The 12,768-nt window shown below is 39.5% G+C and overlaps 1 protein-coding gene across 1 annotated transcript in view; it reads right to left on the bottom strand.

Moving 5' to 3' along the window:
• Positions 1-10,385, bottom strand: part of CRISPLD1 (cysteine rich secretory protein LCCL domain containing 1) — a 50,054-nt gene extending 39,669 nt beyond the window's left edge. The window contains exons 1-2 of the mRNA NM_031461.6: positions 9,970-10,385; positions 8,645-8,964 (exon numbers count right to left, since the gene is read on the bottom strand). Of these exons, the coding sequence (NP_113649.1) occupies positions 8,645-8,902 (258 nt within the window). The 5' untranslated portion in view covers positions 8,903-8,964; positions 9,970-10,385. The remainder of the gene's footprint in view (positions 1-8,644; positions 8,965-9,969) is intronic.
• Between the last annotated feature and the right edge of the window lie 2,383 nt (positions 10,386-12,768).

Here is a 12,768-nt window from a genome sequence, read left to right as displayed (position 1 = left end):
CCCATCTTAGAAAAAATAACAACTACAATGCTTCCAAGTTCTAATGGCGCAAACTGTACAGCTATACCCCATATGCAAAATCTATCTGCACTGCCTCCAAAATGAAATAAAATCCCAAAGACATTCCCCATGATAGTGCAATTAATAATGATTGCTGGGCAGAAACTGGACAGTTTCCTGTTCTACTTCTCATGTAAAAGTTCTCATTTTCTGTTTTTAAGGAGGGAGGAAGCAGATTGCGTTTTGAGAGGGAAGGCAGACTAGGTGAGGAAACAGCAGGCGTATCTATCCCAGGAAGGGAGGAGACAGAGGTTGGGTTCCACCTCCTCTAATCTCTTGAAATTGTGTGGGTAAAATGGGTGACCAGAGATTTCTGGAATCTCTGCAACCATTCCAGAAGTCCTTGCAAGTTGAAGGATCCAGAATCTTCTCCACTGATATTCAAACCAGAGTGGAAACTGCCATCAGTTTTCAAAACACAGTAGCCAAGGCTTGGATGGATTTAGATCTTGCATCAAATGCAGGAAATCCCAGCCTACTGGCTGGCTGGCCAACCAAGTCAATTTCATTCATCTTGCAACAAGGCCTCCTTGAATTTTTCAAGATTAATTTTATGATCACATAGGGATTTATATTCATACTCTTTCCATTTCTTACTACCTTCGTGGCTGCCACCCCACTCCTAGCCACCATCAACTGTTGTACGATTACTGCAATTGCCTTGTCTTCCTGTTCACAGCTGTGCTCCTCCCACCATCTAAAGTCCTCTTCGCACTGCCTAAAGTATGTTCTCAACAAAGCCAGAATGATCCTGAGTAATTGTAAGTAAGATCATGCTATTCATATGTCGAAATGCCTCAAATGGCTTCTTATCACTCAGCTAAAAGAAAGTCTTTACGATGATCTGCATCCTTCCCCAGTTAAATCTGTAACCTCATCTCCTACCACACTTCTCATGCTCCCTCTGTCTGCCACATGGGCACCCTGGCTGTCTGGAGACTCACATCTATTCCATGCAAGGAAGAATGTTTGTTCTGTTTACTACTAGAACCCTAGATAGTGCCTGGCATTTAGTAAACTCCCAATACATGCTGAATAAAGGAATGAATAAAAGCACAATTCCAAAATTTTGTGGCATATCTCAGGCTCTGGATGCTCCATTCTCCTATTGAAACTACTTTTCTTCTCTTGTCTTTCTAAACCCCTAGATATGTTGCTAACATTTAAGGGAGAATAGAACTGGGTTGTAATGTCACTTTTTTTTCTATAGGTATTGTCATCTATGGTGCAATTTTCAAAAAGAAAAATACATTCACTTTAAAGGTCGAAGTCTTAAAAATATTCAAATTAAGGTTTTGTAAACTTCAAAATTCTGTAGAAAATGATACTTAAAACAACTTATTGTATCTCAGTAATACTATTAAAGCAAAAACACCTTAGGAAAATTAAATAAGCTATTTTAAATTCAGAATAAGGGAACTTTAGTAATTTTAAGTAATAATGATATTCTTTAAACAGAAATTTCATACACCTTTAGGTATGTGCAGATACTATATGTCAGAGATAAAAATATTTAACTTTTGAAAATGACCAGTCAAGCAACAGTATACAGAGAGAAAACTCTTATTTTAGGAATCAAGAATTGCAATAACCTTAATTGCCATTAAACCTTAATTGCAATAAAATATTCATTGCAATCAATTCCTGGCACTTGTACCAAGATTAGGAAACAAGCTATGGGTAAATAAGTTATAAGGCCATCATTTCTTTATCTACATTTATTCTGGACATATACCGCTGATAGCAAATAATGTTAGAAAATATGAATTTATAAGAGTAAATGAAGCAATTCACAAGCTAAAGATCACTTTTGCATATTCCAGATTAGCATCACCCTGTTCAACAAACTAGGTTGTCCCATGTCCAGTTTCTGGAGTTATCTTCTATACTGAAGCACAGAAGGAAAAAAAAAAAAAAAAAAAAACCATAATTTCTAATTTTAAGCATGGCCTTAGAAAGAACATAAGTAACCAATTGAAACCAAGACATTGTTTGCATCAACATACACCCAGGACTGAAAGTACCACCAGTTATTTGGCCCCTGGGTTCTGGTTGCCTAGCGAAAGGAGAGGTATTCAGATGTGTTTCGTCTTACAGTTAGAAAAGTGTCATGAGAAGGTTCTGCCCCTAGCCTCTCCAATACATGAGGGCAGAGGAGGCATGCATAGCAATCAACCCCCCAGTAGAGGGTCTGCCAACACTTCTCATAAAAACAGGGAAACAGTAATAACAGCAAGAAACAGTTTACATAGTTGACCCATGTGTCCTTTTTAGGTCAGGTGCCCTCCCTGGTTGCTGAAGTACATTCTACACTTAGACACACTTTGTATAGTAGCAAACTATTTTGAACTTTATCTATAATGTTTTAGAGACTCTATGTTAAAAATATGTAACAAGGGGTAAGTACTCATCAATCTGTTTTATTATTTAAATTCCAAAACATTTCAATACCTTTACTAATAGTTTAGTAGCTCTATGTTATAGGACAATTTTTAGCAGCTCATGAAAATTTGAAAAACTAGGGAAAAAATCCTGAATTATTTGAAGCATTTATACCTTGTTCTCAAGTGTTTCCAATTTCCCACATCGATATCTCTGGTTTTGGTGATATCCTACCTTCCAGAACTTTTATTATTTTAATTTCTCTGTCTTACCTGTCCTCCATATTTGTTTCATATAATCTTACCTATTCATCCATCCATCCCCTCATTCAACAAGTATTTATTGAGCATTCAACAATATTCAATCAATGAATGTTTACTGAGTAGCCCTTCTATTCACCAAGCTTAGTTATAAAGATAAATAAGGTATGATACTTACCCTTCTAGCAATTCAGTCTTAGAAAGGAAAACAAATATGATATTTCACTGCAAAAGAAATAGGCTTTAATACTATAAATAGGCTTAAATAAGTAGGAATGAAGCAGTGGAATGGCGAGAGCAGAGGGAGCTTTATAGGAAAGACAAGGTTTAAGCTGAGTTTGGAGGGAAAAGTAAGAGTTTGTGGCCGGGTCTGGTGGCTCACACCTGTCCAGCACTTTGGGAGGCTGAGGTGGGTGGATCACCTGAGGTGAGGAGTTCGAGACCAGCCTAGCCAACACAGTGAAACCCCATCTTTACTAAAAATAAAAAATTAGCCAGGCAAAGTGACACACGCCCACCATTTCAGCTACTCAGGAGGCTGAGGCAGAAGAATCTCTTGAGCCTGGGAGGCGGACATTGCAGTGAGCCGAGACAGTACCATTGCGCTCCAGCCCAGCACAAGGGCATAAGGAGTTATGCCCATCTTCAAGAACATTGAGTAATTCAATGTGAACACAGGTTCAAATAAACACAAGGGAGTTGACCACTCTGGGGCAGACTGGACAACATGCTTCCCTTTATAAGCTAATCATGGTGGGCTTTAAATTGTGAGCAGCCAGAAGTCAACAGAACTTTTGTGCAACTAAGCAACCAGCGCAGATTGGTTTGAGGGAAAAGTCACCTTTACTAATGGTGAGGAGAGTGAGATAAATTAGAAGTAAAGTAGGTACAAAGACTGGCATGGTGGCTCACATCTGTAATGCCAGCACTGTAGGAGGCCAAGGTGGGCAGATCACTTCAGACCAGGAGTTTGGGACCAGCCTGCCCAACATGATGAAACTCCATCTCTATTATTAAAAATATAAAAATTAGCTGGCAGTGGTGGTGCGCACCTGTAATCTTAGGTACTTGGGAGGCTAAGGCAGGAGAATCGCTTAAACTTTGGAGGTGGAGGTTGCACTGAGCTGAGATTGTGCCACTGCCCTTCAGCCTGGCTGACAGAGTGAGATTCCATCTCGAAAAAAAAAAAAATAGGATTGGTATAGTCTGCTAGGTGGGCATCTGTGGTACCAATGTAGGTATAAAAAGAGCAAAGATTAGAATGAAATAGAAGAGAGGGATTCGAAAGACATTTGAGACAGAACCTACACAATTTGGCAAGTAATGGTGTATTGATGTTTGTGTGTGTGTGATATATGGAAATGTATGGTAAAAAGTTAACGATGTGCCCAATTTTCTGGTTTTTTTTTTTTTTTGTATGTTTCTTAGAAAGTACTGAGAAGATGTTAGTGATATTAATCAACAACAAAGAGACTGGCGGGTGAGGGTGGAGGAAAAGGATAAGGCAGTTTTTTTGTTTTTGTTTTGACACTTGCAGTGTGCAGTATTATATCTGTGGAGTAACAGTACATGGAATGGTCCAATGGGCAGTAGGAAACATAAAAATGAAGCTCAAAGACAAGGCTGTCAGCTGGAGATACAGGACATGGAGCCACAAACATAGGATATTTAAAGTCAAAGGAGTAGAGAAGTCCCTGTAGAACGGGAAAAGGACAGAAATGAAAAGTTGGGAAACAAACTTTTCAGAGATGTGTGGGAAATAAGAGCATGGGGATATGGAAGAACCAAGCAATGGGATCTTAAAACCCATACGGCAAACACTTGAAGAAAGCAAAGCTATTCCACAGAAGCAAATGTCTTATCTCACTACAACCTATCAGGTTTGTTTTCTTTTTTTTTTTTTAAATAGACTTAAGGAGTATAAGTGCGGTTTTGTTACATTGATGTATTGTGTAGTGATGAAGTCTGTAATTTTAGTGTAACTACCACCCAAATAGTGTACAATATACACATTACATAATTACATGTATTACATAATGTAATATACACGTTACATAATTTCTCATCTCTTGCCACCCTTCCCACCTTTCCAAGTCTCCGGTGTTTATCAGTCCACTTCCTATGTCCATGTGCACATAGTATTTAAGCTCCCACATGTAAGTGAGAACATAGGAGATTTGACTTTCTGTTTCTGAGTGATTTCACTTAAGGATCTCCAGTCCCATTCACATTGCTGCAAAAGACATGATTTCATTCTTTTTTATGGCTGAGCGACACTGCATGATTTATGAATTAAAGACTTACATGTAAGACCTGAAACTATAAAAACTGTACAAGAAAACCCAGGGAAAACTCTTCTAGACACTGGCCCAGGCAAAGAATTTATGACAAAGACCTCAAACGCAAATGCAACTAACACAAAAATAGACCAATGGTGCTTAAACTAAAAAGTTTCTGCACAGCAAGAAATAACCACAGAGTAAACAGACAACCTATAGAATGGAAGAGAATATTTGTAAACTACGCATCTGACAAAGGACTAGTATCTGGAATCTACAAGGAACTCAACTCAATGAGAAAAAAAACAACCCCACTAACAAGTGTGCAAAGGACATGTACAGACATTTTTCAAATAAAAAAAAAAAACATAAAAATGGCCAATAAACATATAAGGTTTATATTCTTTCATTTTGCCAATGAGAAGAACAACGCCTAGAATGGTTGCTGACTATCAGGGTTCATGTGCCAATAAGCAGGAGAAGCAAAATGTGAACCTGCTGAAATCTAGATCCAAAGCCGTATTTTTTCCTCCAAAATCTACTACCACTTCAACAACAGTATCACTGAATGACCTAAAAGTTCCAGTTTCTCCATTTACCCCAAATTAAATGTAGGTAATCTCCTTCCTTAGGATTACTGGTTTCTATCACCAATAACTTATTTCTCCCCTTCCTGACTCTGCCACAAGGTCTGTGCTTTCATCAACTAATCTGCTTCCATGAACTTAATCTGCTTCCAGTTCCCCACAACCAGCCTGCCAATTCCTGCCACCCTGCATTTTTCTCTTCCTCTTCCTCTAATTGATGTATACCCCCAACTCTTGCCTACGATTCATGTTTCTGACCACCTTCAGAAACAGTATGTACCTCATCTCACCCACTGATTAGCTCTCAAAGTTAGAAATGTTCCATTTGTTCTGTGCTCCTCTGGCATTACTTACAGACATGAACAAAGAATTCTTGTGTCCTTGCTTATGAGCAAATTTTCAAATGAGTCTATTTCTTTATTCTCAACGCCAATGAGCTCTTTAAAAGAAAATAAGGCTTTCCAGACTCAAGTTTTTTTTGTTTGTTTTAAGGCAGTGTCTCGCTGTCACCCAGGGTGGAGTGCAGTGGTGTGATCTCAGCTTACTACAACCTTCCCCTCCTGGGTTCAAGCGATTCTGGTGCCTCAACCTCCCCAGCACCTGGAATTACCAGCACATGCCACCATGCTTGGCTAATTTTTTGTATTTTTAGTAGAGACGGGGTTTCACCATGTTGGCCAGGCTGGTCTGGAACTCCTGACCTCAAGTGATCCTCCCACCTCTGCCTCCAAGTGTTGGAATTACAGATGTGAACCACTGTGCCCAGCCCAGACTCAATTTTTAACCCTAAAAGTTAAATGAGTAAAAGAATAGGGGTAGAAATGTAATATTAATAATGTCTGGATATAGCCTGGCTCCCATAGGTTTAAAGACAAAGAGTTAACTAAAATATGAACCAATAGGTAACTGGTTAGTCAAACATTTAACATGAAATGACAGACACATAGGGTATAAGGGGCCAAAATCAGCAGTACTTATCATAGGACACTAGAGATTTTACAGGAAATAGCTCTTTAGCCAGTTTAAAGGTTTGTTTTCTCAGAATAAATACATTTTAAATAACGATTTGAATAAATTGGATTTTTATAAGAATGATCTACATCTCATTTACATTGTTTTAAAATGCCTAACTCGACAGTATTTCAAATAAAATAGTATTTTAGACTTCGCCTTAAATGTGTACTCTAGAAAATGTGTATTACAGTTGGGCAATGCACTTCTCTGCAGCCCAGTTAATGGCCAAGACACAGTTCCAGTGCTAATAGTATCTAAGGGCAACACAACATAAACCCTGGCTGGTTTCTGAATCTACATTTCAAGGATAGACTGAAACCAGTGAAACTAAAAAGAAACTCATATAAACATCCCAGACCAGACATCATACAATAGGCAGTTATTATTATTATTTTTTTTGGAAGCCAGACATGAAAACGAATCACAGAACTGTTCTTTCATGATTTCCATATTACTTAAAACATACACAAATATTCTCAGATTTCATTTTGTGGGTTTGAACTCCCAAGTCTTCCTTATTTTAAGTAAAAAGCAACTGAATACCTATTCACATGGAATAAGCATACAGTAGCCTAGTTGGAGGGGCTCCAGAACTGGCTACTCTGTTTGAAGTCTCACAGATGAAGAAGTCATAGAATTTTTCACTTTAGACAAACACTATACAAGAAGCAGAAATATGAGACATTACAGATGTCATATCCTGCACAGTATTTTGAGAAGAGCTAACAATTTCCTTAGATATTATATTTAAACCATATAAGGAAACATAAAATTAGTTATATATGTCTTGGTAACATTTACTGAGATCTTGAAGTATGTTTGCTAATGAGCTAAACTTTGTCCAGGTTATCTCCTTCTATCTTCACAATAATCCTTTGAGGTGAGTATATAATACTAGACACCAGGAAACCAAAGTAGAGAGAAATTAGCAAGCGCCCAATGTCACATAGCTAGTGCGTGTCAGTGCCAGAAGTTTAACCCAGACAGCCTCACTCCTGAGTCTCAATTCTTAATCCCTGATTAGTCTCTTGAGTGCCACCTACTTTCTTTAGGGTAAAATAATTTTTTCTGGTAAAAGTTAAAATAGTGTAATGCCATACTTTATAACGGGCAATAGGAACTTAGAACTTCCATGCTTCATGAAAATTATCTAAATAAAGAATATCCACCAAAACTAAGGTAAATACAGAAAAAAACTAGAATGTATGAAAATTAACTGCAATGAAAATGCCATTTCCAATGTTTGTTAAATAAGTTTTGCCATCACCAATAACTATTTATTATCAGGCTTTGCTAGTGCATTCCTCATTCATGGAAGGAATATAATAGATTTTTGAAAAGTTTTCTAAATGTTTAGGGTATGAAATGGCAGTATACTCATGAGTTATATGCTAGTAGTCTTAAAGTAATTATGTCCCTTAAAGTTGCAAATTTACTCAGAGTAAATATAAGGTTGTTAAGGATAAGCTGAATATTTTAAATTAATCCTTTGCCAAGGCTTATTTTCATGCTTCAAGTTCACAAATAATAAATCCAAGGGGAGAAAAAAGCCATTGCCAAAGCACTCTTCAACATAAAGCAACCATAAAAATGTATCCTTTACAATGTCATTTACATGTTTATAAGAAACAAAGACCCATTAGGAACAATATATTTCAGCAATCCAGAAAGTTTCTTCCGATTATTAGTCTGAATTTTTCAGATCCACCATTCATAAAAAGGTTCTATCAGGAATTAGGAAGTAAATTTTCAGCTAAGTCAATTAACAGCAAATATACCAGCTGTTTTGCATTTTCACTATATTAACCTTCCTGGTGAGAGTAGAATTTACAGCACTTAGTAGGAACATTGCATCTAAAGGCATTTCGTCCTACTCTGAATGTCAAGAGCTCTTAGAAACAAAAGGAACATTAATAAACGAATATGCAGAGGAAAATACCCTCAAAGAAAATCTTTTTTCAACTTCATATAAAATAAATGATTAAAGAACAGCATGAAGACTGCTGACTGAAAGCATGAATAAACATTTCTTTTGTACATACCACTTGAAAAATGTCCTTACCATATACTCCATATTAGAGGCTGTTGGATACACCTGACTTCGTAATTTATTATGAAGGTCCAAAATACTCTGCATGTCATTGTCTGTGATGGCCCTTTTCCCTCGTTGTTTGGCTATCCACCACTCACCATCCTCATCCATGTATTTTTCCAAAAGTTTCTCCAATAAAGTGGCATTGGGAACCACCATGGCTGGAATTGCTCTAGCCATGAACAGCACTGTGGTTACTCTGAGCCACTCCCGCGCGGTACACTTCATAATGAATGACCTCAGGATTTCCCCAGGAAAATCTCCAAGACAGGCTCTTCCACTCCTTTTGGCTATAACGACATGTCATGTGATTAAGATGAAAATTCCAGCAGATATGAATTTTCTAATAACACGAGCAAAACAACAGTTACAAAGGAAGTGTGCCAGTTTGATTTGTCTATTTAACAGCAGAAAATGGACACTCACATTTTGAAATAACTTATCTCCAACCCATTTTTTTTCTTCCAGAGGACTTTTCACAATGCAATTTCCACAAACTAGACAACTGTATTATCCAAGATAATACCCCTGAGGCCAAAAGTAAATGGCAAAAGTAGCCTAGAAGAGTCAAAGCTTGAAAATACTATGTGAATTGCAAGACTTTAAGTGGCTATACATTACATATACCCTGCAAAGGATGTTATATCTACCTAGAACGTTTGATTTCAATCTAGAGGTTCATGTTTCTCTATGAAGAGTTTTAAGGTGTGAATATTTTATTTGGTATTATTTTATTCCAGTGGCCCATCTCTGTTTCACACTCAGAATGTCCACAGCATTCTAAAATTGAGAGTGAATGTTTCAAAGAAATACAAAAGGCTATTCATATATGCATCCATGGCTACATCTAGGGGGCCCCGTGAACTACTGCAAATGAATGGTTTGGGTTCCTGGGGTAAGTCTCTTCCTATTCAGGCTCAGGTCAAGAACTCAATCTTTATTTCCTGGAAAGTCTGTGACTAATCTGTGGCCTGCACCCGAAGAAGCCAGCAGCTCCCCGGCAACTTGAGAGCTTTTCCTCTCAAGTGTGAAGGCACACACTGTTCTTTCTCTGAACTCAAATGGAAAGCGCGCGACAGAGAAAGTAGGTGAAACCAACAAAGTCACTTACAAGAACTAGAGCTCCCGCTAATTTCTATCGTCGCTGCTTTCCGGGTAGCCCACCCACCCATCGCGCCCAACCACTCTGTACAGTTGGCTTTTTTTTTTTTTTAAGTACAGTTTAAGAAGGCAAAGGGAGATAGGAAAGGGTGGCAGCTTGACGACTCAGCGATGCATTTTAGAATCGCCCTTACCTCTCCAGTGTGAAGTTTCCTGGGAGAGGTGAGCCAAACCGGACGGCCGGCCTCTGCAGCCGCCCAGAGCCTTCACAAGGGACCGCAGACGGAGAGCCCCGCTCGCGAAGGGCCTGAGCACCGAGCGTCCGGGGGCGACGTGGGTGCTGACTGCAGGAATACGCGAGCCTCCGCCTCTGCGGCTCCCTCAACCTGGAAGAAATGGCAGGCAAAGCGTCCAAAATTAGACCTGCAGTTGGGGTGGGAAGGGAGCTGCTTCGTTAGTCTGCCAGGGTGGGCGCCCCAGCGTTTCTGAGCAGTAGCTGCAGGAGCGAGGGGCGGGGACACGAACGAGGCTCGGCGGCGGAGGCTGGCGGCGACCTCTTGCTCCTGCTCCGTACAGCCAGTACGCGCAGAACCAGGCGCCTAGCGCTTCCGTCGCTCTCTCGCGTTCGCGAGCATTTATTGCGGCCCCAGCGCGGGCACGTGACTTGAGCGCCCCTCCTCGCCCACCCCCACCTCCAACCAGCCGTGGCCAGAGGCCCGCCAGATCCGGGAGAAGCAGCCCGCCCTGCTTCTCCGGAACGCAGCGAAGCCAGGGCGCTCGGCCTTTGTGGGCGTGCTTTGGGCTCCCGAGACCCAAGCCCGGAAGGTCTGGCCCCTGGTGGGAGATGTGTGCAAGGAGGGCCCCAACCCCCCTCAGTCCTCCCAGCTCCCCTGCATTCAAAGATCCTCCTCCCAGTCAGTTCCTTTCTGCTGAGATGCTGAAATGCCTTTAAGGGTCCTTACAGACGAGGGGCTGCCCCATAGAGCATGGAGTGGGTGGGGGATGGGGATAACACCTTCAATCTTGGAGGCACAAAAGGGGAAATAGGGGACGAAATGGAAAAATACTTTTCCTTTTATTTTTCCCAGGGGTCCGCATCCTTGATGAGGACCAGATGGGGAAGATGTTCAATAGAATTTGGGGTCAATATGTGACTCAGAATGGCCTGACAGTTGAGACCCCCTCTTTATTCATAAAATATGAGGCATTGTCTTCTCAAGGTGGCCATAGCACTTTTTTTTCTGATGATGTATACATTTAAGGAGTTGATATAAAGGGTACCATTAATTTATCAGGGATTGTTGACAGGAATTGAAACCCCAGCGCTAGAATAGGTAGTGAAAGGAGAGGCCGTTCCTTTGTTCATGTTGTAATCTGGGGTAAGAAAATTACTAATTTTAAATTCACAACAGCTTACCCTACCAAGTGTGGGGCTGTTTTTTATTTTTATTTTTAATTATTTAATCCATCTATGTTTGCTTCCCTAATGTGGTGAATCATAGTCTCAATTTTCCTTCTTTCTAAATGCTAGAGTATCTAGCATATGATCAAATAAAGTACAATATTATGGTAGTAACTCAAATCATCCCAAGCTGTTGCCTGTCTCTTTCCACCATTCAACTACACCATATCTATCAAACCTAAAAACTCAACTCTAAGCCTCAGCTGGAGGTGAGACCTTGCTTCCTGTCACAAAGAAAAGGGAAGCATCACTTATTAGAAAGGTGCAGAAGGTGAAAAGTTTTGATGCACATAAGACTTTTATAGAAGTGTAATTTTGCAATTTTTTAGCAGTTTTAAGTACAAAAAAGTTCTTAACTTTGTATTTTTCAAATAACTATTCATAATTTCCATGCACAGGGTTGAGAAAACTGGCTTTCCCTCTTAGAAACTGATAGAAAACCTCCAAAGTTTATGGTAAAAGAACTATCATTTGTTACAGCAGATGAAGACTATGTTTTTATACTGCAATGTCCATGTGGCATTGAAAAGTATACTGAATATTGAATAAAGAGCCATGAAAGTAATAATATTACTTGAAACATTTGCAAAGAGAATTCAAATTAGGAAGAAGGGAATTAAAATGATAGGGAAGTGAAGTTAAATGAATTTGTAACTCTTGAATATTTCAGTTATAAACATTCTTACACAATGTATGAATCCAACACCTAAAGGCTCACATTAAAGAAAATAAAAATTGTTTTAGGTCTTTAATTCCAAATCTTTCTCTAAACAAGGAAAAAAATCCTTTGACTCAGCATTTCTTTTGGCTTCCAATTTGGGTACTGCAGGTGATTTAAGCATTCATCATGTTAGCATTTCAATAATACATCTTGTCATTCCTGATTGAGTATATATGTTGGAAATGCCATTTTGAACAGTAAAATCAAACACAATATTCTTGAATACTCAAAGATGATACTGTTCACGTTTTTTATTTGTAGTTGAGAAATCTGTGTGTAGACATAAGAAAATGTCTTCTTCACACAGAATTCACGTAAAAGTGGCACTTTGGTTTGTGGCTAAGGCTGTTACTTGTAAAGCCCTGGTTGTTTTTAGCATTACTACTTTCTTGTGGCAAACACTGGTGGTTGCCTAACCAACAACCAGCCTTCCACCCCTTTCTTCCTTCCAAGCCCATAGCCTCCAATTTACCGGGGATATCCACCCTCTCACATGCTGTCAAACTGGCATCTTCAAGAGGCGAATGTTGATTAGTCAAAGCCAGTCATCACAATCTATCCCTGCCACCAGTGACTGATTTAGCATGGGCATGTCATGCAGCCCTAGCTGTTGAAAGGAAGACTTGGGGGTAAGGAGGAGGGTTGGCAAGGGTTTTCTTCTGTAATAAAAAGAGATGCAAAAAGAGAAAATGTCTCCTTAGGTACCAGTGTGTAAGTCTGTGAAACTGAAAGATGCAGCTCTTACTTTGCAAAGAAGACAGACAAGCCTGAGGGCAGAAACCCATTACCCTGGCCAAACAAAAAGACCAA

Source organism: Homo sapiens, chromosome 8, assembly GCF_000001405.40.
Source record: "Homo sapiens chromosome 8, GRCh38.p14 Primary Assembly".
Taxonomy (NCBI): domain Eukaryota; kingdom Metazoa; phylum Chordata; class Mammalia; order Primates; family Hominidae; genus Homo; species Homo sapiens.
This window is presented reverse-complemented; position numbering and strand designations above follow the sequence as displayed.